Source organism: Homo sapiens, chromosome 10 (genome assembly GCF_000001405.40).
Source record: "Homo sapiens chromosome 10, GRCh38.p14 Primary Assembly".
NCBI lineage: Eukaryota > Metazoa > Chordata > Mammalia > Primates > Hominidae > Homo > Homo sapiens.
Window position 1 is genome coordinate 71,272,727 of NC_000010.11, and position 25,770 is coordinate 71,298,496.

General features: G+C 55.6%; 1 protein-coding gene across 2 annotated transcripts in view, besides 7 other annotated features; it reads left to right on the plus strand.

Annotated features, from left to right (window-relative positions):
• UNC5B (unc-5 netrin receptor B) overlaps nucleotides 1-25,770 on the plus strand; it is a 90,295-nt gene that overhangs the window by 60,157 nt on the left and 4,368 nt on the right. Inside the window, exons 2-16 of one of the 2 annotated variants that reach the window (NM_170744.5) lie at nucleotides 7,095-7,319; nucleotides 11,994-12,137; nucleotides 12,600-12,703; nucleotides 13,963-14,143; nucleotides 14,872-15,039; nucleotides 15,842-16,006; nucleotides 16,232-16,264; nucleotides 18,189-18,383; nucleotides 18,706-19,095; nucleotides 19,741-19,828; nucleotides 20,679-20,847; nucleotides 20,974-21,207; nucleotides 23,085-23,234; nucleotides 23,852-24,016; nucleotides 25,183-25,364. In NM_170744.5, the coding sequence (NP_734465.2) occupies nucleotides 7,095-7,319; nucleotides 11,994-12,137; nucleotides 12,600-12,703; nucleotides 13,963-14,143; nucleotides 14,872-15,039; nucleotides 15,842-16,006; nucleotides 16,232-16,264; nucleotides 18,189-18,383; nucleotides 18,706-19,095; nucleotides 19,741-19,828; nucleotides 20,679-20,847; nucleotides 20,974-21,207; nucleotides 23,085-23,234; nucleotides 23,852-24,016; nucleotides 25,183-25,364 (2,593 nt within the window). The remainder of the gene's footprint in view (nucleotides 1-7,094; nucleotides 7,320-11,993; nucleotides 12,138-12,599; nucleotides 12,704-13,962; nucleotides 14,144-14,871; nucleotides 15,040-15,841; nucleotides 16,007-16,231; nucleotides 16,265-18,188; nucleotides 18,384-18,705; nucleotides 19,096-19,740; nucleotides 19,829-20,678; nucleotides 20,848-20,973; nucleotides 21,208-23,084; nucleotides 23,235-23,851; nucleotides 24,017-25,182; nucleotides 25,365-25,770) is intronic. The other variant, NM_001244889.2, reaches the window with a different exon arrangement.
• Nucleotides 6,107-6,631: an enhancer, noted in NCBI's record as "H3K27ac-H3K4me1 hESC enhancer chr10:73038590-73039114 (GRCh37/hg19 assembly coordinates)". NCBI's record gives its function as "activates a minimal SCP1, AML or CMV promoter by ChIP-STARR-seq in primed H9 embryonic stem cells {active_cell/tissue: H9 hESC(primed)}" and the evidence as "EXISTENCE:reporter gene assay evidence [ECO:0000049][PMID:30033119]".
• Nucleotides 6,632-7,157: an enhancer, noted in NCBI's record as "H3K27ac-H3K4me1 hESC enhancer chr10:73039115-73039640 (GRCh37/hg19 assembly coordinates)". NCBI's record gives its function as "activates a minimal SCP1, AML or CMV promoter by ChIP-STARR-seq in primed H9 embryonic stem cells {active_cell/tissue: H9 hESC(primed)}" and the evidence as "EXISTENCE:reporter gene assay evidence [ECO:0000049][PMID:30033119]".
• Nucleotides 12,242-12,743: an enhancer, noted in NCBI's record as "H3K4me1 hESC enhancer chr10:73044725-73045226 (GRCh37/hg19 assembly coordinates)". NCBI's record gives its function as "activates a minimal SCP1, AML or CMV promoter by ChIP-STARR-seq in naive and primed H9 embryonic stem cells {active_cell/tissue: H9 hESC(naive and primed)}" and the evidence as "EXISTENCE:reporter gene assay evidence [ECO:0000049][PMID:30033119]".
• Nucleotides 12,242-12,747: a biological region, named in NCBI's record as "H3K4me1 hESC enhancer GRCh37_chr10:73044725-73045226".
• Nucleotides 12,678-12,747: an enhancer, noted in NCBI's record as "active region_3512". NCBI's record gives its function as "activates an Ori minimal core promoter by ATAC-STARR-seq in GM12878 lymphoblastoid cells {active_cell/tissue: GM12878}" and the evidence as "EXISTENCE:reporter gene assay evidence [ECO:0000049][PMID:35858748]".
• Nucleotides 12,744-13,243: an enhancer, noted in NCBI's record as "H3K4me1 hESC enhancer chr10:73045227-73045726 (GRCh37/hg19 assembly coordinates)". NCBI's record gives its function as "activates a minimal SCP1, AML or CMV promoter by ChIP-STARR-seq in primed H9 embryonic stem cells {active_cell/tissue: H9 hESC(primed)}" and the evidence as "EXISTENCE:reporter gene assay evidence [ECO:0000049][PMID:30033119]".
• Nucleotides 22,734-23,541: an enhancer, noted in NCBI's record as "NANOG-H3K4me1 hESC enhancer chr10:73055217-73056024 (GRCh37/hg19 assembly coordinates)". NCBI's record gives its function as "activates a minimal SCP1, AML or CMV promoter by ChIP-STARR-seq in naive H9 embryonic stem cells {active_cell/tissue: H9 hESC(naive)}" and the evidence as "EXISTENCE:reporter gene assay evidence [ECO:0000049][PMID:30033119]".

The following is a 25,770-nucleotide window of genomic DNA, read 5'->3' on the forward strand; positions in this document are numbered from 1 at the left end:
GCTCTCTGAACGTTGACTTTCTGTGTCTGGTCTACGTGGGCTCAGATGGTGCCAGGCCAAGGAAACAGTCTGTGGGGCTTCTGACCTCCCACACACAGTTCAGCTAGAGAACAGCTCCTGCCTGCTGCCACTCCCAGGCACATGCACTGCCTGTTTGTTTGTTTGTTTGTTTGTTTGTTTTGAGATGGAGTCTTGCTCCATTGCCCAGGCTGGAATGCAATAGTGAGATCTCACTCACTGCAACTTCCACCTCCCAGGTTTAAGCAATTCTTGTGCCTCAGCCCCCCGAGTAGCTGGGATTACAGGCATCCGCCACCACACCCAGCTAATTTTTGTATTTTTAGTAGAGACAGGCTTTCGCCATGTTATCCAGGCTTGTCTCGAACTCCTGACCTCAGGTGATCCGCCCGCCTTGGACTTCCAAAGTGCTGGGATTATAGGCGTGAGCCGCCGCGCCCGGCCCACAGTGCTTGTTAAGAAAGATATTTGCATCTGTTTTCTCAGTTGACCTTTCACAGCAATACCCCAAAGTTGACAGAGCAGGAACTGCTAGTCACTTCTTTATAGATGGGGAAACTGAGGCTCTGAGAGGTCAAACAACCTCCCAAGGTCTCACAGTGCTGGGTGAGGCTTGGAACCAGGACTGTTGGCTCTTGGGTCAGCCTGGGCCCAGGCTCAGAGTCATGGTAAGGGCCACAGCACTCCTCTGGCTTCCCCTAGGGATAGTGACAATCTCCCTCTCAGGAATGTTGGAGCCACCCCCTCCTCTGAGAAGACCCTCTGAGAGGTACAGTGTCTTTACATTTGTCCTGAAGTCATTCCTTCGCCTCCTGGGCCCTCACTCCTGCTCATCCAGGTGGGTCAGATTCTGACACCTCTTATACAAGCTTGTGTCTCCACAGCAGGCACTGCACAGGCCCAGCCCCTGGGAAGAAGCCTACAGACGGGCACAGGGCCTGCTGTCCGACAAGCTCCACTCCACTCCTAGACGGGCGCCCTGTTGCCCATGGGGGACACCAGGAAGAACATAGTGTGTTCCCTGCCCTCCAGGAGCAGCCACCAAAACTGCAAAGGAGGCTTTGAGCTGTCTGACTCAAAACAGACTTGCCAGAAGCAGGAAGGTGCCCTCTAGACCCTAGCCTGGTCACCTCACCCTCCTGCATTTTAAATGGGTGGGTGACATGAGGAACTTGTCCATAAGGAAGCCAGCATGGAGGTGAGAGGTGCAAAACTGTGTCTTCTAGAGAATATTTGGATAAGACAGACTGGGGGACCAGGCTGCAACCTCCAGACTGGGAAGTGCACTGTTTAGTTAGAAGTGTGCTGTTTAGTTAGTTTAGAAGTTAGAATTCTAGGCTGGGTGCGGTGGCTCATGCCTGTAATCCCAGCACTTTGGGAGGCCAAGGCAGTTGGATCATGAGATCAGGAGTTCAAGACCAGCCTGGCCAAGATAGTGAAACCCTGTCTCTACTAAAAATACAAAAATTAGCCAGTTGTGGTGGCGGGTGCCTGTAATCCCAGCTACTCAGGGGGCTGAGGCAGAGAGTTGCTTGAACCCGGGAGGCGGAGGTTGCAGTGAGCCGAGATTGCACCACTGCACTCCAGCTGGGCCACAGAGCGAGACTCTGTCTCAAAAAAAAAAAAAAATAAAATAAAATAGAAATTAGAAGTCTAGCAATGGCTGAATCTCAAATTGCAGCTGTGAGTAAGGAAGGCTTTTCTAACTATTAGGTCTGTCCGAAGAAGAACCTGGCTGAGAAAAGCAGTGATGAATTCCCCATCCCCACAGGTATGTGAGTCAAGGTTGGCTGAGGAGTTGATGGGAGACGTTGGATGAGATGGCCCTTTAAGTAACTTCTATAGAGACTTCATAAAGAGGTCTCATGTAGAGACCTCATAAAGAGACCTCATAAAGAGGCAGGTAAAGGCAAATTAGAGGTGAGAGTTTGGATGGCACCCCTCGGAGGTCCCATCCAGAGGTGCTGGTGGTCATTTTGATCTAAGGCCTGGGATGGGTGGGCTGGAGCATGGTTAGGCGAGCCCAACAGTGTTTCCTCCTCCTCCTTCCCTGGGTTCTACCTACGCTCTGCTTTAGGACCACCGTATAGCAATGGCAAGGAAAGTGACCCTAATTTAAGCAAATTTGCTTTCTGAAGAAAAAAATTTACTCAACAGGACATTTTCACACATGAACAGATTCCCCATAAGGGATCTTTAAACCTCAAAGTGTTAGAAGCAGAGGAGGGCTTGAGAGACTGACTTGGCCAACCTCCTCATTTTACAGACAGAAACTCCAGGGCCTGGGAGAGAATGGCCACACAGCAATGCCAGTCCCCAGCTGGGATGCAAACCCAGGGCCTCTGCCTCCAGCGATCTTTCGTGTCCTTCATTTGACTGTCTTGTCATTACATCTGTGCAGGGATGTGTCTTCTTTCATAGCTTCTTGGCGGGATATCTGGACCATTCTTGGATGCAGCTTTAAAGGCAGGCTGCACTTTTGCAATTTAGGCCCAAACGAGTTCTACTCTTGGGAAAAAACACTTCATGTGGGAATTTTCCTGCCAGCAGGAAACCCAGATCCGGCCTGGCTGAGGCAAGAACTTCTAGGGGAGCCTGTCTTAGATGTGGTTCCTCTGTAGAGACGGAGCAGCAGGAAGTCCTGCAGAGAGGCCAGGGAGGCAGGGCTGAGAGACATGGCTCAAGCCTTGCTTCCTGCCATCGACCAGGTGACCCTTCATGTCCCTTGTTGCCCCTCGTTTTCATTTGTAAAATGGGAAGAATTGCAAGGAGTAGCACATAGTAGACCTAAATGCCCATTTCCAGTTCAGCAGAGCTCGGAAGACAGATTCTAGTATCAGATCACCTGAATTTGCCCCCTAGCGGTGCCACTTACTAGCTTTATAGCTCTATGCCAGTCACTTAAACGCTTTTGGTCTCAGTTTCCTCATCTGCACTGTGGGGATAATAATCATATCCAACTCATAGGCTTGTGGTTCCCAAACTACCTGCCAAGTTATCCCAGGGTTCATCAGCACACTCACAGGGAAGCTGTGGGATATTTTTAATGTGGGAGACACGGTAATACTAGATAGCTGTCAGACACTGCACCAACAAGTAGCTCCAGGTAGCTCAGTTTCAGCATCATATCACTCTGTTTTCCTTTATTTGGCACCATATCTTTGCAAAGCTGGGATTGTGGCACTTGAGTAACCCATGACAAACAGTAAGAATAGTGGTGTCCGCTTGGATTCCAAAGTTTGAGAAGTTGTGCAGTGCCCGACAGGTGCACACATCCCTGTTCGTAAGTCTTTGTGGCTATTAGGAATGGGATAAAAATATATTTTTTCTTTCAATTTATCCTAAGATTTTAGGATATAAATATTTACAAAGCTGTTTGGATCTAATTACCTAATACATTCCTGTTAGGGACTTCTTTTTGGCCTTGGGATAGCTTAAAAAAAATTACTGAGGCACTAAAAATCAAAACGTTTGTGCATCTCTGTCTAGGGTTATTATGGAGCTCATTGAGTTCATATGAACCACTCTCTGAGCGGCGCCTGGCAGGGTAAGCATCCAGGAACCCCGAGACCCCATTATTCTCCCACCCAGCTGGTATCCGTGCAGCCTGGCCATAGGTCGCTCTCATCTAGCCCACCTTTCAAGCCTTCCTCAGTCACTGGGGCCCAAGCCAGGGCCAAGGAGAAGTGAGGGCTCTCGTTGTTTTGGAAACAGAGTCTCACTTTGTCGCCCAGGCTGGAGTGCAGTGGTGCGATCTCCACTCACTGCAACCTCCGCCTCTCGGGTTCAAGCAGTTCTCCCACCTCAGCCTCCCGAGTAGCTGGGATTAGAGGTGCACACCACCATGCCCGGCTAATTTTTGTATTTTTAGTAGAGATGGGGTTCCACCGCGATGGCCTGGCTGGTCTCGAGCTCCTGAGCTCAGGCAGTCCACCCACCTCGGCCTCCCAAAATGCTGGGATTACAGGCGTGAGCCACTGCGCCCGGCCTACTCCCTTACTGAAGTTGCATTCACTGTGCACCTGCTGTGTGCTGGCCAGCAGAGTCCACTCATGGTCCCTCCAGGCAGGAACCTCAGGTGGGCCTCTCATTCTTCCTTATGTCCTGGCAGTCTCTGCCTCCAGGACACCTAGGGTATAGGGACAGCAAGAGGGCAACAGCTACATCAAGAGCCATCCGGTACTGCTGCAACAGAGAGGCACAGAGGGGACACTTGGCCTGCGCCCCTGCCAAGGCCAGAGCTGAATCTTTGCACCAGGGCTGAGAGGAGGGGCGGGGTAGGAAGAGTAGGGCGGTGGGGCTGCCAGACGCAGGGCCTGCTGCACTAATGGATGTCTAATGTTTGCTTTCCTCAGTCATGTCTGCACCCACTTAATAAATGGTCTGCATTAGAGTTATAAAACAAAGTCATAATACAGCCTGCAGTGCTGCAGAGCACAGAGGCGGCTGTCACCCCGGGGCTGGGGGTGGTGCGGTTAGAAGATGGGGGCAGGCACGTGACATGCACCCATGGGCCCCCATGCCCCTTCTCCTGTGGCCATGACCTGCCCCCAGAGGGAGGCTCAATCCTGCCATTTCAAAGATGAGCTGCCTGAGGCCAGCAAGGGGCTGGTTCAGACCCAGGGGCCTCTTGAGTCTGAAGGCAGAGCTCTGTCCCACACCCCTCAGGGCTGAGACGGAGACAAGATGCTGGTGGTGGGTGGTGGGCATGGAGCCTGGCAGGTTCTCTGCTGCCCAGATGCCCTCCTGGCTCCATCCTGCTATCTCAGAGCTGTCTGGCCTGGCAGGGAGGCCTCAGTGGCCATCTCAGGGCATGCACAGCAACCAGCTCTCAGGCCACTGAAAGCCAATGTTCAGCTCCCTGGGTTGTGATCAAGTCACTGTGTCATCTCCTCATCAAATCCCCAAGCAGCCCTAGGGGGCTACCAGTTTGCCTATAGTGAATGTATCCCTGTACCTGGCAGTGGGAAGCAGGTGTCAGGGAGCCCTGGCCTGGCCTCAGGAATCTGCCTTGCTCTTCCCACATTAGCTACCCACTCACCGGGTGGCCTCGGGCAAGTCATGGGAACCATCTGAATGGTCTTCAGTTTCCTCTGCTTTGAAATGAGGACATTTCCAGCCTTGCAGGTCCCTTGATGAGAGAGCCCTGTGGACTGTGGAGTTCTGGCCCTGTCAGGGTGCTATTAGGATTCCTGGGTGTGGAGACACCTACACCATTACAGAGCTACGTAGATCAATGATAGGTGGTGTGGAGTCTGGGGCAACAGCCCAAACGCTGAAGTCTTTTCTCAGGTTCAAACTTTTGATCTGCCTCTTGTTAGCTGTATGACCTTGGACAAGTTGCTTAACCTCCCTGAGCCTCCCATTTACCCATCTCTAAAATGGGGTCTAATAGAACATACCTTACAGGGTTGGTGCCAGAATTCGATAAGTTAACAACTTAAATTCCTGCAAACATAGCACCTGATGCTGGGTGAGCCTTAGTTGTTCGTTCGATGCAGCAACATGTACGTACCTACTGTGTGCCAGGCACCGCCTAGGTGTTCATGCATGTTTGTCTCATCCTCAGAGCAGCCCAGAGACGGGGTAAGGTTGTCCACCTCTTGTGCTCATCAGACATAACGAGGTAGGTGTTAAGGTTCTCTCCCTGGGCCCTACAGAACATGCTGGATGGAGCTGGAGTCATGTGTCATCTTGTTAGCTACCCCACCCCCACCGCCCGTACACACACTGCCCAGGGCCTAGGCCCCAAGCCAGTGATAGTTCATGCATTTTCTCCTAAGCTCCCCAGTCTCAGCATGGTCTCCTGGTCCACAAAGAGAAAGCATAGTCAGACATTCTGTTCTTGGAAAACCAGGTGTCCCCTTGGCCCCTCTGACTGTAGGGGGGACTCCCTAGAGCCAGATGTGGCCTCCTAGACCAGAGAACAAGTGCACGATCCCAGTGGCCACACAGGCCTCCCGGGACACCACCCGCTCCCCTCCCTCCGCTGTAGGTGGGGCCTCTAGCTGGAGGGGCTGGGCGGCCATGCGCCACCCCACAGCTTCATTCACTGTGTCCTCTGGGCAGTTAGCAGAAGAGGACAAGCCCCCAACGGCTTGTGCCCAGCCACCTGATCATTTGGCATTTGGCACTGGAAAATTCATTTTTCTAGGTGGATTGTAAACCAGCAGGTCAATGGCCTGGTTTCCCCCGCTTCTGGGCACTGGCGGTGGCCACACCCCCCTTCCTGTTTGTCTCACCTCCTGAGGTGCAGTTCTTTCCAGGGAGACGGTGGGCCAGGATTTCCATCTGGCCCCCTTTGTGGGAGGAGACTGCCACAGGCACAGCCCCCATCTGCTCTGAAGTCTCCTCATCTGCTGTGCTGAGGGCTGGATCTGGCTGGGGTGGGGGTTGGGAAGAAGAGGCCAAGGGATGGGTGAGAGCCACAGACCATGGGAGGTGAGCTCTGTGAGGAAGCTTCTGGGAAGGAGGGCTTCCCCTGGGAGAGGAGACCTGCAGGGGGCTGAGCACCATGGAGTCCAGGCCTGCTTCAGCCGGCTCATCCCACCCCTGCCCCGCAGCCCTGGCTCCTGTCCCGCTTGCCAGCCTGGCAGGGGCTGCAAAGGGCAGCTGTGACTCCAGGGCAGAGCTGGCCTGGTTTGAGCTCCAGCCCCGTTTCCAGCCCATTGCATCTCGTGGCGTCACCATGAGGAACTGGATAGAAGCCGGGCAGGGACAGTGGAGCAGACGTTGTGGGGGGGCCCAAGGGGTGTCCTCACCCAGACAGATCGCCTCCCCTCCCGGGACCTCCTTGGCCTCTCTGTCTGTAATGAAGTACAGTCACACAGCATTGCAGAGTGGGAACTGGCTCTTTATAAAGCCCAGCCTCTTAAAAGCAGGGCAAGATGGGAAACTGAGGCCGCAGGAGTGCCAGACTTGACCCCGGTTGCAGATTACGTCCCCAGGAGGGCTCTGGCTGCCCCACCTCTGCCTCCCCTGTCCTCTTCGTCTGCGGTGGGCCCCCGGGGTGGGCGAGGGGTGCCACAGGGCCCTCCCAGCACACAGCCTCATGGAGGTCTCCACTCACTCTGCAGGCACTGATTCTGGCAGCGAGGTGCTCCCTGACTCCTTCCCGTCAGCGCCAGCAGAGCCGCTGCCCTACTTCCTGCAGGAGCCACAGGACGCCTACATTGTGAAGAACAAGCCTGTGGAGCTCCGCTGCCGCGCCTTCCCCGCCACACAGATCTACTTCAAGTGCAACGGCGAGTGGGTCAGCCAGAACGACCACGTCACACAGGAAGGCCTGGATGAGGCCACCGGTGAGCCCGCCCCACTTGCCTGGGCACCCCAGGACACCCCAGGCCCAGAGGCACAGGCCTAGCTCCATGTGAGACTTCACACAGCCATGGTGCCCCCTTGGATTAGCATTTCCCCAAGTGCTGGCCACATGTCCCAGCCTGACTTTGGGACCATCTCCACTGCATTGGACAGCACCGAGTGCCCTGTGAGCCCTCACTCCCTTTTCCACTTTCCATCTTTCTGCTTCTGTTAGGGAGCAAGTTCCCGTCAGGTGGGGGTTCTTGAGCCCTCCCAAACACCTGCTAATCTCCCTGTTTAACAAAGAGGGCAGGTCTCTGCCTCACAGCCCTGGCACCCCACGGCACCGACCCAGAATTCAATGCAATCGTTATTTTTACAGTTCCCTTCTGTTTGTGGAAAGTGATACTGGTTTCCATTCACAATAATGATATGGCATTTCCTGTGTTGAAATAAATTGTTTTAGGTTAAAAAGAAAAAGTTGATAGTATTAAGTAAATAACCATCCAAGTGGTGCTGGGATGTAGACCAAATCTGGAGGGAAAGAGGAGAGCAGCTGAAACTGGGAAACTCGAGGAAGCCTGGGGTCCCTTCCTTCTCGGATATGTGGGGAGCTCTCGGTACTCCCAGAGGAGGAGGCAGAGCCCTGGGGCTCCCCACATCTCCCAGAACTGGGCCTGCCCCCAGGGTGCCCTCGAGTCTAAGTGAGGGGCTCTTGCTCACTTGTCACCAGGTCCCTGTTGATAGTGCAGGAGCCCTCGGGGTGAAAAGCCCTTCCTGGGGCTTAAGACAGGCAGATGGGACCCCCCCTTCAGTCACCTGACAGAGCCAGCCTACCCCAGACTCAGGGGGCTCCCGAGTAGCCTTCCTGGGTTTTGTTTTGTTTTTCCCGTCTCTTTCTGGATCCTTTGCTTTCTCCTTCTTCAGCTCTGTTTATTTCCCTGCCTCTCCCTGCTCATTTCTCTCTCTCTCTTTTCCCTATGTGCCTGTTTTGCTTCTTTCTTTTTCTCTTCATCCCCCTCTCTCTGTCTCACTCTCTGTCTCCCTGACATGCTGTCTCACTGTCCTTCTTTCCCCCTTCTTTAGTTTCTGTTTTGTCATGTAAAGCTCACAGATTTCAGAAACAGTCAGGCTTAAAACCATACTCTAGAATGTACTCGAGGTCACTGAACCATATGCTTACAAATGGTTAAAATGCTAAGTTTTATAGAATGTGTATTTTACCACAATTTAAACATAATTTTAAACAATAGATTTGGAGTCCCATGCTCACCCAAAATATAAAAATGGAAAAAGGAATTTTTTTTTTTTTTTGGAGACAGAGTCTCGCTCTGTCACCCGGGCTAGAGTACAGTGGCGCAATCTCGGCTCACTGCAACCTCCGCCTCCCAGATTCAAGCAATTCTCCTACCTCAGCCTCCCAAGTAGCTGGGACTACAGGCGCGTGCCACCATGCCAGGCTAATTTTTTGTATTTTTAGTAAAGTTGGGATTTCACCGTGTTAGCCAGGATGGTCTCAATCTCCTGACCTCGTGATCCCCCGGCCTTGGCCTCCCAAAGTGCTGGGATTACAGGCGTGAGCCACCACACCCAGCTAGAAAAAGGAATTTTTAAGGGGAAACAAAACAACACATATTTTCCAGCTGCCCCCACTCTTTTTCTGAGTGACCCTGGGGAAGTCACTCAACCTCTCTGAGCCCCAGTTCTTCTCTTCGTAAACTGGGAAGTTGACTGAAGGTCCTGGTGAGGGTAGAGCCAGGTGGCGTACACATAGCACAGAACAGCATGCCAGGGCCCAGCAGGCAGTCGATAAACACCTGCTTCCTCTGTCCTCTTTCCGGGCTTTCCTTGGCCTCTTTCTCTCAAACGGTCCTTACCTCTCTGCCCACTGAGCCCCTCTGGCCTGTATCAGAGGTCAGCCATCGGGGTCCAGGCAAGGCGAGGGAACAGTGTGCCTGCTGGGGCCCCTCACAGGCCGTTAGCATAGTAATAATAACCCTGTGATTATTACTAATAGTAACAGCATGGCCCTTACCAAAACCCTGCCACCAGGCACACAGGCCCTGCCAGCCCTAGAAATTGGGGCACTGTTGTCCCCATTAGCTGCAAATAATGGGCAGAGCTTCCTTGGCAGTGGTGGGGCCTGATTCCACTTCAGCCTCCTACTCTCTAGCCTTGGTCTGAGGCCTGAAAACACAGAAGAGGACAGCTGGGGGCCAGGAGAGGCAGAACAGCCCCCCACCAGCTTATGCCAGATTGGGGCAGGCAGCCCAACCCTGGGTGTCCTGGGCCAGGCATTGCCATGCTTGGGAGGGCAGTCTGATGCTGGGCCTCAAGCCTGGGAGACCGAAGGTCCCTGTCCTATGCTCCCTGCATCTCTGCTTGCTGGTGATCATGGATGAGGTGTCACGCCTCCTCCCTGGTGGTTGTTTCCTTCTATCCAGCTATTGGTGCTGCTGAAACCTTCTTGCATGGATGACCCCCTTAAAAGGGCACACTCTTACAGGTTCACAGTCTGGTAAGCAAGGGGCAGGGGCTGTGCTCCCTGGGTCATGCATCATTGACTGTGGAGCCAGCCTGTGGGCAGCCATGGCAGGCAGGCACTGTCACCCACCCCTGAAGCAGCCTCTTCCCTGGATGGCATACCCCTAGCCACCTCCCATTTACATCCTTGGCCATCAGGACGGGGCTGTCCCCCATCTGGACTCCCTGCACAAGGACCCCACCCTCCTCAACAATAGGAGAGTTACAGCAATGACTTCATCAGGAGAGGTCCAGAGAGGAGTTGTGGGGCCGGGCGCAGTGGCTCATGCCTGTAATCCCAGCACTTTGGGAGGCCGAGGCGGGCAATTCACGAGGTCAGGAGATCGAGACCATCCTGGCTAACACAGTGAAACTGTGTCTCTACAAAAAAATACAAAAAAAAATTAGCCAGGCGTGGTGGCAGGCGCCTGTAGTCCCAGCTACTCGGGAGGCTGAAGCAGGAGAATTGTGTGAACCCAGGAGGCGGAGGTTGCAGTGAGCCGAGATTGCGCCGCTGCACTCCAGCCTGGGCAACAGAGCGAGACTCCGTCTCAAAAAAAAAAAGAGAGGAGTTGTGGGTGAGGGGACCAAGCTCTAACCTGGGAAAGACACCAGGGAGCTGACCTCTGCTCTGCAACAGCTTGCTAGGGGACTTGGTGCCTGCCACCTACCCTCTCTGAGCCTCAGTTTCTTCAAAGGTAACAGAAGAAGCTGGTTGAGATCCAGATGACCTGCCAGAGTATATTTGTGTCTGGCCCGGGCTGGGCGCTGTGGCGGAGTAGTCACCATAACTTGTCTAGAGTTTACCTTGAGAGTTTACTATGATGAGGGATCTGAGGCTCAGAGAGACTGAGTAACTTCACAAAGGTCACCCAGCTGGGGTTTGAGGGTGGGGCCAGGACACAAACCTGTCCAGCCATCCAACCCTGTCCTTACCCACCATGCCACCGGCTGTGCGTACCTTAACAATCCATGGTGCAATGAGAGGATGAGATAGGACACATCGTGGCAGGGAGGAGCAGCTTTAGAAATTCTGAGACACAAGGCAGTCAGGGAGGCTTCCTGGAGGAGGAAGAGGGCTCTGTAACCTTTGGGGAGGAACTTCAGATGAATGTCCCCTTTCCTGGCAGGTTCCCCCCTTTCCTGAGCATGGAGGGCTTCGTTGAGGGATGGTTAACAGAAAACCGAGTGACCCCCTTGTGTAGGCCGGTAGGTCCTGTTATGTAGGGAGTTTCCCAGGCCCTGACCGGGGAGCCATTGAGAGATCAGGGGCTCCCTGGGAGAGGGACTTCCTCAGCTCCAGGCCCACAGGGCCTGAGTAGTGACCAGGGAGAGCAGGCATCCCACCTCTGCACGTGCTGAGCCCCCTTTCTGTGCCAAGCCCTGGGCCACAGCAGCAAGCAGGACAAAGCCCCATCTTGTTCTCCTGCAGGAGACAGACATTTAACACATGAATGCGTCCATAAATAATCTGAGTCCAGCTAATGGTGGGTGCTGGGAGGAGACGAAGCTGGGTAGGGGAGTGACTGCTGCATAGACGAACTTCCGGGCACAGTGGTGGGAGTGCCGAGCAGTGCTGGGAGAGCTGTCGGGGAGGCGCAGGGTGGAGGGGGCTTTCCTCGGGAAGTGAGGCTGATCCGAAATCTGGCAGGGACTGGGAGGCCACCAGGCCCAGAGGAGACAGAAGATTCCAGGCAGGGGACTGATGTGCAAGGGCCCCGTGGCTGCAGAGCCAGGGAACATGAGGGCCTGGAAGACACCCGGTGAGGCTGCAGTGGGATGGGGATGGTGGATGCACAGTGCAGCTCAGAGCCACTCCTGGGGATGACCCTACCCGCCTGCAGGCCACTGAGACCCCGCATGAAGGGTCTCATAACGGGGGGAATGACACACCACTTGTGCATTTTGGAGATGACACTAGCTGCCAGGTAGAAGATGCATTGGTGGGGCAGAGGGCTTGTGTTAGCCACTGCAATGTGCAGGTGAGTGGCCATGAAGCTTGAGCCAGGGTGGAGACAGGAGACAAGAGGAATGGAGGGAAAGGCACTTGGGCAAGAGTGCCAGCAGGATCCGAGGTGGAAGGCCGGGGGTGTCCTGTGCCTCACATCCTTGCTTTGCCCCTGCCCCCTGACGGCTCTCTCTTCTCCTCCCAGGCCTGCGGGTGCGCGAGGTGCAGATCGAGGTGTCGCGGCAGCAGGTGGAGGAGCTCTTTGGGCTGGAGGATTACTGGTGCCAGTGCGTGGCCTGGAGCTCCGCGGGCACCACCAAGAGTCGCCGAGCCTACGTCCGCATCGCCTGTACGCCACCCTGACCCCCACCCTGTCCCTGCAGGAACCTTCCCCATCCCTGAGGATGCTGGAGAGGGAACTTCACATCTGTGGGGCCTCCTCCAGCATCCCTGGCTGAGGATGCCCACGGCAGAGACATCCCAGCACATGGATGCCAGCTCAGAGAGGGCTCCTAGACCCAGAACCTAGGCCTCTTTTCATCTACTTCTGTATAAAAGAAGCTGGCAGCTTCCTCCCCCATCCTGAGCCACTATATGCTTAGGATCCCAGAGTCAGGGAGGGAACCCTGTTCCCCCAAGTCTGCCTAGTGAGACCCCTCCTTTGGAGAAGAGGAAATTTCCCAGGCAAAGGCCAGGTGGGCCCATCAACAGTACCCTGGGTCTGCACTGCCACCCAGTGGCTACAGTGTAGCACATCAGGTTCTGATCCTGCCCGCACCTGACTGCCTTGGGACCCTCTCGCTTCTCCCAGACCTGCGCAAGAACTTCGATCAGGAGCCTCTGGGCAAGGAGGTGCCCCTGGACCATGAGGTTCTCCTGCAGTGCCGCCCGCCGGAGGGGGTGCCTGTGGCCGAGGTGAGCGGGGACGTAGGGACCACTGAGCACGGCCCTGTGGCCATGCCTGCAGAAGCCAGGCAGGCATGGTATTTACCACCAGCCATGGTGCTAGTCTCCCAGAGCCCTGCCCCTTTCGCAGATGAGATCGAGGCTTAGCACAGAGAAGAGAACTGTTACCTCTGTCGAACGCAGCAATGCCAGATCCCAGCTGGGTCTGCCACAGGCATAACCCCACGGGATGGGGTGGCTAAGGCAGAAATCCCCAGAACTCAGGGGCTCCTTAGGTAGACCTCCAGCTCAGTCTCTATCTCCTGCCCCACCCAGAACCCAAGGCCCCAGCTTTCTGGATGCGAAAGGATCCCATCATGCGTGTGTGTGAGTGTGTTCTCCCCCACGAGCTGATCACCCCTTCCTGAAACCACAGTCTTTGGATTGCTGTCCTCTCTCGCCATCCTTACCTATGTTCCAGACATACTCCCTGCACTGGTGGTCCAGGGATTAGAGCTGCATCTCAGCTTTGCCCAGCAGAGTGGACGGCTGGGGCAGTCAGGACCCTGACTTCCAGCCTGGGATCAGCCCTCTCTGATCCCAAAACCATGCACTCATCATTCAGCCTCTCCCAGCCCAAACCCTCCTCTGCGTAGTGGGCTCAGACAAATACCCCTGGCCCATATATGCTAGGCACTTAGCACGCTGGTCTCTGCAACAACCCTGCAAAGTGGATGTTACCATTCCATCCCACAGCAAGGAAGCAGGGCTGGGAGGGGCCCAGTGGCCACCTAGGGTGAGGCAGCTGGTGAGTGGCAGAGCTGGGGTTTGGACCCAGGTCTGCCAGACCCGGGGACCTTCTTCGTATCACCTCCCAGGCTTTTCTTCCTGGCTAGCAGAGCTGGGAGGAGTTAATGATGAAGACAGATACTCCTGGCTAGCACCTATTTAGTTAGTTTAACTCAACTTCCTCTGAGCATTGTTCTCGGCACCTTACACATGCTAACTCATGTAATCCTCGCGATGGATCCCTATGGGGTAGGTGCTATTCAATTCCATCTTGCAGTTGATGAAATTGAGTCCCTGAGTGGTAAGTCCCCTCCCAAGACCACCCAGCTGGCAAATGGTGCTCTTAACCCCAGAGCTGTACAGTGTCCAGTGCTATAGTCCCACCAAGGCCCTGCCTCACTGCCACGACTATGGCGTGGACCCAGGTAGAACTGCCCTTCTTCTGTTTATGATCAAACCTGTCCTGGGCCCTCACTGCCCCCTCACCCCCACTCTTGCAGGTGGAATGGCTCAAGAATGAGGATGTCATCGACCCCACCCAGGACACCAACTTCCTGCTCACCATCGACCACAACCTCATCATCCGCCAGGCCCGCCTGTCGGACACTGCCAACTATACCTGCGTGGCCAAGAACATCGTGGCCAAACGCCGGAGCACCACTGCCACCGTCATCGTCTACGGTGCGGGCCTTTCGGAGTGGGAGGGGCAGACACGGCCAAGGGAGGGAGGAGAGAGCCTGGGGGTAGGGGGGACCCCTGGATTGGTAGGGAGGATGCAGCCCAGAGAGGGGAAGTGAATTGACCAAGATCACAACACAGCAGAATTCATGGCCAAGTTGGGCATTCCTGGGTTCCCAGCCAGGAACACTCCCCAGTTCTCAAGATGCCTTGCCTAACTCTGAAGGAGTTCTCCAAGTCTGGGGGCTGAGGCAGGGCCCAGTCAGTATGTCCAGAAGGCTGTTGTCCTGGTAGAGTTAAGGACCATTGCCCAGGCTTGTGAGCTATTCTCTGCTGCCCCCTTGGGCCCTATGGGTGGGAGGAGTGGAGCCACAGCTGAGGTGACTTGACAGAGTTTTAGAAAGAACCTTGTGCTAGGTTCCAGCTGCAGGCAGTCCCAGGCCCCCATCACTCCCAGGGTGACCCTGGGGAAGTGGCAGCCCTTTCTGGACCTTCTTTGCCGTCTTACAATGAGGTGGGGCATAGACAGTGACTTCCCGGATCCCCTCTGGTGCTGACGGTTACAGCCCAGCTCTATCTGCCAGTTCTGAGTCCCTACACTGTAGGCAAAAGGGGTCTCACTAGGAAGGCCAGGCTTCAGCAGAGGGGCCTCGTCAGGGTGAGGGACGGGTTTGGGGGAGGGCAGAGGGTTCCAGAGCCAAGCCATCCAGTTGACAGCTGCCGCCTTGCAGTGAATGGCGGCTGGTCCAGCTGGGCAGAGTGGTCACCCTGCTCCAACCGCTGTGGCCGAGGCTGGCAGAAGCGCACCCGGACCTGCACCAACCCCGCTCCACTCAACGGAGGGGCCTTCTGCGAGGGCCAGGCATTCCAGAAGACCGCCTGCACCACCATCTGCCCAGGTAAGGAGCCTTGTCCATGTCCAGCCCCACCCCGAACCCTGTCCCACCTTCTGTTTTGTGTGCCAGAGCCGGGACAGCCATTCTCTCCCCAGCATGGGGAGCAGAAGGTGCTTGTCCCGAGCCCACAGCCGGCTGCCCAGGCTGACTAGATGCTCTGATCTCTGACCCCTTATTCTGCCCTGGGCTGCTGGTGAGATGGAGGCAGAGGCTTTGAGGGTTAGCCCCTTCTCCCTGACCCTCTAGCCTGGGCTCTTCTGCCCTCCAAGCTGAGGGTTCTCAGTGTCAGCATGTCAGCCCCAGGCCAAGGTTTCAGAGCTCCCCGGCCTCAGGGACAGCCTGTTGCTCCTGACTGTTAAGACACACCGTGGCCACAGACCCTATTCATACTGACAGTCCTCCTATTCCTCTCATCCTCTGTGCAGCCCCTCTGCTCCCCTACCCCCGCACATGTGCTGTGTTCTCTCCCTTGGGTTGTATGTTTGTGCCTACGCTGTTTTTCTTTACCCTGGGTTTGTGTCTGTGTGTGTAAATCGTGCACTGGGCTATATCGTGTTGATGACCTTATACATCTATCTGTACCCTCTTTGTCCACCTGCCAGGTGCATCTGGCTGTTCATTGGCATGGGGTTATGTGGATATCATGTGGATTTCTCTGTGTGGCACACATGTGTTCTGGGTTCCTCATTTCCTTCCATGGTGTGTATGCATGCATGTGTGTTGGCACATTGCTCTGTTCTGCACACATAACTATGTGTGCACATGTCTCTGCGTGCACATGCTCCTGTATGCCATGCTCTTACAGTCGATGGGGCGTGGACGGAGTGGAGCAAGTGGTCAGCCTGCAGCACTGAGTGTGCCCACTGGCGTAGCCGCGAGTGCATGGCGCCCCCACCCCAGAACGGAGGCCGTGACTGCAGCGGGACGCTGCTCGACTCTAAGAACTGCACAGATGGGCTGTGCATGCAAAGTGAGTCACAGGGAAGGTGGGGCCCTGGGGGTGGGGACTCTGGAGCCATGTAAGGGTCCCCCAAACCCGGCCCCATGCCTCAGTGCCCAGCCTGCAGCACGGCAGTCCTCAGGGCCTCTGTCCCCCCACCACATCCATCATCTCATCTCATCCTTCCCATTGCCTTCTCTGCCACCCTTTCCCTGTCACCTATGTCATTGTCTTTCCCTTTATTTCCCTTGACAGATAAGAAAACTCTAAGCGACCCCAACAGCCACCGTAAGTCCCATTTCATGGCTGTCCTCTTTCCTCTGGGGGATCCCTGGTTCTCTTTGGCTGGCTTTTCCCGGGATCAGGGTGCAGGGCAGGGAGAGCTGAAGGTGCCTACCCACCCCCCACGGGATCATCTACACCTGACACTGCATGTGTCTGCATCTCCATCACCGGCAGACAGGCAAACCCTTGGCTGACAGAAAAGAAAGGCCTTAGGGCACCCTACTGAGCCTCCTCTCATAAGAGGGGAAACTGAGTCACAGAGAGAGGAAGGGACTTGGCCAGAGACACAGGCAAGAAATAGTAGAGCCAAGATTTGAACCCAAATATTTTTATAGCCAAAGCTGTTGTTCTTAACCATATGCCCTTGGCCCTCCTCTCTGGGCCAAGGCCGGGACATCACCACTCCAGTCCCCCCTCATGCCCCTTGCTGTACCTCTCTGCCCCAGCAGCTGGGCCAAGCCTCCCAAATTGTCTCTGTTGCCCGCTGCCCTGCGTCAGCTCTGGAGGGCTCACCCTCCAGCCCCAGAGGCTGCGCCACCACTGCAATCATATCAGAGCAGCAAAGCCACTTGAGCAGGTTGGCCCATGGTAATTAAACCACAATTTCCAGTTAGTTCTGGAATCATAAAATCAGTGAGGCCCTCGGCCGAGCTCACTGGGGGTCGGGCTGGGGATGATTCAAGTGTAAGTCACCAGGCAAGTGGCCCCAGTGTCAGTGAAGGCATTAGGAGGCAGAGCCAAGCTGGGGGAACCATTTCTCTGCTGAACCAGGAGCCCAGCCCTGAGGGGTCCTCTGGGGAGCCCAAGAGTGAGGGCTGCTGAGGAGAGATACAGGGGGACAGAAGTCGGAAGTGGGCAGACATCCGGGGCTGGGAGCCATGCCCTGCCTTGCTGAAAGCCTTAGGCTGACGCCAAGTGCAGGGTGTGGAGGACTCCAGGCAGAGGAAGCAGGGCTACTTCTCTGAGGGCCCCCCAGGGAGGAAGTGCGTGGACAGGTGCTTCCTGGAGCTCCCAAAGGAAGCAAGGGGAAGAGCAGCCATCTTGGCCGCCATTTTTGCTCTCCCTGAACTGCCCAGTGTGAAAGCCGTTCAAACTTATACTTAGCTTAATTAAAATTAAATAAATTTTTAAATTCAGTTCCTCAGCGGTACTGGCTACATTTGAGTTGTTCAGGAGCCATATGTGACTAGTGGCTGCATACGGGACAGTGCAGCCATAGGATTTTCTACCACTGTAGAAAGCTCCACCAGACAACCCTACTTCAGACCCTGCCACTTTGACCTTGAGGCTTCCCGCCTGGCCATGTTTGCCTGGGGGAGGAAAGTGTAGCCGTGGGTTGCCTCCCTGGGCCCATCCTTCTTCCCACATGCTCACCTCTTCTCCACCGCATTGTTGTGCATCTCATTCCACTTCTTCAGCTCCCCGTCCCTCCACTTCCCACCCTCAGAGCATGGAATGGAAGAAGAGTTCAGAACAGCTACTTACAAAGATAACAGAGCCAGAAGACCTTATCTACATACAAAGATAACAGAGCCAGGACCTTTGGTCCTCTGGAAATTGCTACAGACTCAGAGGTTTCAGCCCCAGCACTCACAGGGCAAATTATGTAGCCCCAGTGACTCTGAGCCACAGACCCTGTCTCATCAGCAGCAAGCAATGAATTAACACATGGCATGAACATGTTTGTTCTTTTGTTTCTCATGCCACAACTAGGAGGGCAGTAAGGCAGGGACTTCGAGCCCATTTTACCGATAGAGAGGTTCAAGGCTAGCCCGAGGTTGCCAGCCTGTGTAGGCAGGGCTCAGACTGGAACTCAGCACCGGGCCGGTTGGCCCTGGGCCCTGCCCTTTCCAGGGACCCAGGGCCTCCCTGATTGCCCCAGGGCCTGGTCTCTGCTGCCCCTTATGTGGTCCTCCTGTCCCCGCAGTGCTGGAGGCCTCAGGGGATGCGGCGCTGTATGCGGGGCTCGTGGTGGCCATCTTCGTGGTCGTGGCAATCCTCATGGCGGTGGGGGTGGTGGTGTACCGCCGCAACTGCCGTGACTTCGACACAGACATCACTGACTCATCTGCTGCCCTGACTGGTGGTTTCCACCCCGTCAACTTTAAGACGGCAAGGCCCAGTAAGAACCCGAGGATGTCTGGGGTGGTTGGCAGAGGCAGGATACCCAGAGGGCTCTGGTGGTACCCAGACCAGAGCCAGGCTCCTGACTCCCTCCCAGGGTTTTTCCAGAGTTTGCTCTAGAGATAACTATGTGGATGGGTATGGATTAGAGAACTACCGAGAAGGAAGGGAGTGACCCAGGCTGCGGGATTCCCAAAGCTTCCTGCAGCTGGCAGCAATTGGGCCTTTCACAGCTGGACATTTGGGTGGGATTTTGCAGTGGGAGCTGGGCCAGTGAGCTGAGGCACAGCTGGGTCTGACTATAGCCCCTACTCCTGCAGGCAACCCGCAGCTCCTACACCCCTCTGTGCCTCCTGACCTGACAGCCAGCGCCGGCATCTACCGCGGACCCGTGTATGCCCTGCAGGACTCCACCGACAAAATCCCCATGACCAACTCTCCTCTGCTGGACCCCTTACCCAGCCTTAAGGTCAAGGTCTACAGCTCCAGCACCACGGGCTCTGGGCCAGGCCTGGCAGATGGGGCTGACCTGCTGGGGGTCTTGCCGCCTGGCACATACCCTAGCGATTTCGCCCGGGACACCCACTTCCTGCACCTGCGCAGCGCCAGCCTCGGTTCCCAGCAGCTCTTGGGCCTGCCCCGAGACCCAGGGAGCAGCGTCAGCGGCACCTTTGGCTGCCTGGGTGGGAGGCTCAGCATCCCCGGCACAGGTGAGCCCCTGCCCTGCTTGTGCGTCAGCCTGGCCTTAGCACCTCCTCTGTGGACTGCCCCAACACCCATCCAGCAGAAGATAGGGCTGCCCTAATCCCATCTCACAGATGGGGAAAGGGAGGCCTGAAGGCAGGAAGTGAGTATAAAATAGAGAGGTCTGACTAGAAAAGCTAGGCTTCAAGCCTGCCTATGCCCTCACTAGGGCAGAGGAACCTTGGGCCAGCCATCTTCTAAGCTTCAGTGTCTCTGTTGTGTGAGAGAGAATATTCCAACGTAGTTCAGCAGACCTACAAAGCACTGTCCTGGAACTAGCAGCAGAGGGACAGGGGCGCCTGTTTTAGTTTGCAAAGCCAGCAATTAACAGCTTCCCAGCATCATATACTAAGCTAGGAGTAGAGCTGGCACTTGGACCTCCAGACACCATAGCAATGTCAGAGACCCCTGTCTTCCTAGACAAGCCAGCACTGGTCAGTGGCCTGGCCTCTGCTTGCATCCAGTCCCCAGACCCTGTCTCCCACCCCTGGCTGGGGACTACCTGGAGCTCAGGAGATATCTTTCTCTCCCAGCCCCAAGCTGGGGCCAACTTCCCAAACACTTGTTCTCCTAAGCTCCTGGACTCCCTGCTGACTTCCCTCTCCCCCTAGGGGTCAGCTTGCTGGTGCCCAATGGAGCCATTCCCCAGGGCAAGTTCTACGAGATGTATCTACTCATCAACAAGGCAGAAAGTACCCTGTGAGTAGAGCCCCAGCCGCTGCTCCTTTTTCTTCCTCCCATCCCTTGCTGCCTGCCCACACGTGGCTCCCCTTCTAAGCCTGATGCCAAGACCAAACAGTCCTCCAAGGAAAGTATTAATCTTACTGTGTCCATATTGAAAACTTGCAGAACCAACACCGTAAATTGTAAAACTCAAAGGCGGTTGACAAGCTGGCTACAAGTGTGACAAAGGGCTGAATATCCTTACTATGTAAAGAGATTTTGTAGATCAATAAGAAAAAGTAAACATCTCACTGTGAAAATGGGCAAAGGATATGAACACGTGATTCACACACACTGTCTCACACAAACACACTGGCCAGTAGGTTATGAGAAAATGTTTAGTCTAATTTGCAGAGAAAACTAATGAAAACCACCACAAGGTATACTGGGATTTTTAAATTATTATTATTAAGGAATTTGCAAGGACCTTTTCCCAAATGATAATACCCTCTTGCTGGCAAGGGGGTGGGAACATGGCCTTCTGTGGCACGTGGCCGGGAGTATAGATTGGAACCAGCTCCCTGGAGGGCACTTTAGCGTGACCTATTGAAAACCTTCCAAGATTACACAACCTTGGAAAATATAAGCCAGGAATTTTGAGCTATGATAATGTTGCAGTGGAATAGCAAAAATCTGGAAACAACCTCAAGGTTCATGCCATTTTCTTTGCCTCCTTTGCCCCCATGACCTCTGGGAATGCAGAGCCCTGAGTGGCAAAGAGCTGCCCTCCACCTCCCGGGCCCTGGGCAGACTTGGGAGCCCAGCAGGAGCCTGCACCTTTGCCGAGCTCTTCACTGCCTCTCTCCTACCCTGTGTCCTCCTCCAGCCCGCTTTCAGAAGGGACCCAGACAGTATTGAGCCCCTCGGTGACCTGTGGACCCACAGGCCTCCTGCTGTGCCGCCCCGTCATCCTCACCATGCCCCACTGTGCCGAAGTCAGTGCCCGTGACTGGATCTTTCAGCTCAAGACCCAGGCCCACCAGGGCCACTGGGAGGTGAGGAGCCACGGTGAAGGCTGGCCCAGCTCTCCCAACCTGCCCAGGGAGGCAAAAGAAAGCCCTTTTCCTCTGGCCCAGCCTGAATAACTGTGACCACTACCCCACCCTTGCTGTCCCCTACAGGAGGTGGTGACCCTGGATGAGGAGACCCTGAACACACCCTGCTACTGCCAGCTGGAGCCCAGGGCCTGTCACATCCTGCTGGACCAGCTGGGCACCTACGTGTTCACGGGCGAGTCCTATTCCCGCTCAGCAGTCAAGCGGCTCCAGCTGGCCGTCTTCGCCCCCGCCCTCTGCACCTCCCTGGAGTACAGCCTCCGGGTCTACTGCCTGGAGGACACGCCTGTAGCACTGAAGGTAGGGCCAGCTGCAGGTGCCCACACAGCCCTGGCCGGCCAGCTGCATGATCCCTGCCAGAATCCCCCACCCCAGGCTCATGGGTCCTCCCAGGAACCCCTCCCCGCCACCAGCATTATTAGGTCCCGCTTGCGACCCTCACACACTGAAACAGCCTTGGGCACAGGGCCTGCCTCACCAAGATCCAGGTTAGAGGTGGGAGGCAGACCAGGGATCCCTGAAGGCTCTGATGGGGTCTGCCCCAGGACTGAGGGAGCATCAGACTGGGAGGGGCTTGGGCTGGTAGGGAGGGACTCTGAGAAGGCTGACATGTAGGAGTTTCAGCAGAAAGGAGTGAAGGGCATTCCAGACCGACAGAAATGACTGCGTTTCATAAGCGTTTCAGCATGACCAACTAAAAGGCATAGGGAATGTGTGAATGTGAGGGCGGGCGAGATGGGCAGGGCTCAGCTTCCCAGAAGCCTCAGGGCCCCTTGCCAAGGAATTTGGAATCCATCCGGCAGGAAGGGGAATGGACCTGGTAGACACCTGTTCACAGGTGCTCTTTAGAAAGCCCCTGTGGCTATACTTGGGTGGGTAGATGAGAGGTGGAGAGGCCTGTTGGGAAGCTGGGGTTGGACCCTGGGCCACAGGGAGTGACAGCAGCCAGGAGAGGCGGGGCTGGATGCTGCGTGTGCTCAGTCAAATGGACAGAACCGGTGACTGATGGGATGGGCAGTGGGAGAGGGAAGTTAAGGCTGACAGCCAGGCTCCTAGCATATGCAGAAGGATGGAGAGCGGTGCCCCAAGTGAAGGAAGGGTCATGCAGATGAGGGGTGGTTGGGACAGGAGGGAGGGAAGGGGAGGGAAGGGTCTTTTAGTACCTAGAGCCTGATGATGGCAGGTATGGAGCCCCGTGTTAGCACCACTGTCCCCTGCCAGCCTCAGAGCCCTTGTGCATTCCCCCAAGTTCTCCTCCCATTCTCAGGAGCTCAGGCTCATCCTGATGTAACCCTGGAAGCATACAGACACTTGGCCGTGTGTGAGCCCCTTCCCCTCCCTCCTCCCATCTGCCCTCCTCAGCGCCTCATGGTCCTTTCCCATGGCTCCATGCACTTTCTGTTCCTGCTCCCTGGCCCCGTCCAGCTCCTTCATCTCCCAGGCTCATGGGACTTGTCCCAAAGCCCACACTGCAGACAACATAGGTGAAAGGCCCATGGGAGAAGGAGTGTCCCCTGCTGGGAGGACCCTGGCTTGAGATGCCAGTGGCCCTGTGATGGGTGCAAGGTGCCTGGGAAGTGCTCCTGCAGCTGGATCTCTTGGTCCTGGGGCGTTGGCTAATGGCCAGCTTTGGCCAGAGAGTGGTATAGAAATCAAGAGAGAAGTTACCAGGTTTGGGCCTGATGGCATTCTTTGTTTATTCAACCCTCCATCCATCCATCTGTCCATCTGTTCATCCATCCATCTGTCTTTCTGTTCATCTGACCATATACCCATTCAGTCAGCAGCCCATCTGTTTACCCAGTCATTGCTCGTCTATCCATTCATTTATCTTTTCTTCCATCTTTCTATTCATATACCCATCCTTGTATATCCATCTGTATATTCATCTGTCTGTCTTTCTAGCCATCAATCCGTTTATCCATCCATCTGTCCATTTATTAGTCCCTCTAGCCATACGGTCATCTATAGATTCATTCATCTAGTCATCTTTCCCACTGTCTGTCTATCCATCCGTCATCTATTCATCTTCTCACACCATAAGCCCTCTGTGAGCTCTTGCAAATGCCCAGCCATGCACTCAGATGGGCCCCTGCCCCCTGCCCCGCACAGTGCCACAGAAGAGGCCCATTGGCCAGGTGTGATGGGTTCCCCTTCCCCATGCCCCTGGCCCACAGGAGGTGCTGGAGCTGGAGCGGACTCTGGGCGGATACTTGGTGGAGGAGCCGAAACCGCTAATGTTCAAGGACAGTTACCACAACCTGCGCCTCTCCCTCCATGACCTCCCCCATGCCCATTGGAGGAGCAAGCTGCTGGCCAAATACCAGGTGAGGGCTGGGCTGATGGATGGGGAGGGGCACCACTTAAGGGCTGCCCGGGAAGCCCAGCTCCCTCCCGGGCCCTGCCTCCTAGCTCTGTCCTGTGGCCTTACCCCTCCCTGGATCTCTCACTGTCTCTGTCTCCTCCCACCCCAGTCTCTAGGCTTTCAGCCATCCCCAGGCACGTCCCCAAATTCAGGGCAATGGGCAGCCACATGCACACTTCTGCCCTGTCACACCCTCACACGCACAGACGACTATGCCCTTCATCCTCACAGAGGCTCCTCACCCTTCAGGGCATGCCCTCCTGGCAGACTGCCCATCTCATCTCTGACAGCCACAGCCCGCTGCCCACCCAGCAGCGCCTGAGACCACAAGGCCCCCTAGCCCCTGACACACACACACCTGTGCCTTTCCCTCCCCCACCTACCCACCCTCAGCTCCCTTCTGGAACTGAGGGCCTGACACCAACTCAGCTGGCTAGCTTAGGGCACTTGACCCCTCCCTATCTGGGTGGAGAGGCCTGAACTGCCCCCCAAAGCTCCCAACCCTCCCTGAGCCTCCATTTCTATGAGGACAGGGCAGGCTGGCCTTGCCTGCCTGGTCCTGACCCCCTCCTCCTGCAGGAGATCCCCTTCTATCACATTTGGAGTGGCAGCCAGAAGGCCCTCCACTGCACTTTCACCCTGGAGAGGCACAGCTTGGCCTCCACAGAGCTCACCTGCAAGATCTGCGTGCGGCAAGTGGAAGGGGAGGGCCAGATATTCCAGCTGCATACCACTCTGGCAGAGGTGAGGGAAGTCGGGGCCACATATTCCAGCTGCACACCACACTGGCGGAGGTGAGGGAAGGGTGGGGCAGATATTCCAGCTGCACACCACGCTGGCGGAGGTGAGGGAAGGGTGGGGCAGATATTCCAGCTGCACACCACGCTGGCGGAGGTGAGGGAAGGGTGGGGCAGATATTCCAGCTGCACACCACGCTGGCGGAGGTGAGGGAAGGGCGGCCAGATATTCCGGCTGCACACCACTCTGGTGGAGGTGAGGGAAGGGCGGCCAGATATTCCGGCTGCACAGCACTGTGGCATAGGTGAGGGAAGGGCCGCCAGATATTCCAGCTGCACACCACGCTGGTGGAGGTGAGGGCCAGAGGATACCTCTAGGGTTTGGGGCTGGGCTGCAGCACACAGAACCCTGTAGTTCCCTCTCACCTCCCAAGTCTGAGCGGGTATCTGGTCATGTTTTTCTAACAAGTGTCATTTATTGATTGAGTGCCATTCACATGCTTGGCATATACCAAAAAACTTACATGATCTCACAAGCACCGGGAGATGCATGACAGATATCATCCCCACCTGGGAGGTGAGAAAGTAGGTTTTAGGAAGGGCAAGGATTTGCACACAGTACACCAGTGGCAAGACTGGATTCGAACCCAGGTTGATGCAAGGACCAGGCCTGTGGTTCTCAACCGTTAAAAATCCGGATTGAGATTTAAAAACCCAGGCCACCCAGGGTGACAACACTAGATCCTCCTCTTGGGGCATTGTAAAGAGCACTGGATACAGGTCTGGACCCAGGTCTGCCACTAACTTGGCATGTGGCCATGAGCAAGCCACTCCCCTTTTCTAGACTTCACTTTCCACCTGTACAAGAGGGTGCATGTGGATTAGACTGTGGCTGGGCCTCCTTGGGGCTTCCTAACCATGAGGCTGCATCTGCATTTGCCTGGGGCCTTAGGTAAGCATGGTGCACCCCCTGAGGCCTGAAGGGTGGCCATGCAGGCCTTGCCCTTGGGAACCGACCCTTCAAGGGAGAAGCCCCTGCCTGAACAGTGGGAGTCTGTCCAGAGGAGGTGGGAGTGACTCAAGGCTCAATGAGCTCACAGTCCAAGGGGAGGGAGGCTGGAGGGCAGATGCCCAGCACTGTGCCCCTCTCACTCTTGGCCCCCACCCTTGCAGACACCTGCTGGCTCCCTGGACACTCTCTGCTCTGCCCCTGGCAGCACTGTCACCACCCAGCTGGGACCTTATGCCTTCAAGATCCCACTGTCCATCCGCCAGAAGATATGCAACAGCCTAGATGCCCCCAACTCACGGGGCAATGACTGGCGGATGTTAGCACAGAAGCTCTCTATGGACCGGTGAGTATCCCAAACCACAGCCCATCCCCATCTGCCTTCGTCCTCAAGGTCTCACAGGGGCAGGCAGGGCAGGCAGCCTGACAGCCACGACCATCTCCCAGACCAGCTGCCCTTTTGCCACCATTTGTGGCAAATCAGCAACTCAGGATTGGATATGCAAAGTTCAAGAATACTGCTCCCTTGAGGAGCATCATGCTCAGAGCACTGGTCCTTGAGCCAGGCAGACTCTCAGACCCTGCTCTTTTCCCATTGTGTGGGGATAATGCTCCACCTGCCCATCTCACCGAACAGCAGGAGACTCAAAGCCAGGGCATCAGCTTGGTGCCATCATTGTCAGCACCTGGTATCTAGGACAGAGAATGTGCTGCGAGATGCTTGCTGACTGACCAAGATACACTTTGGTGTC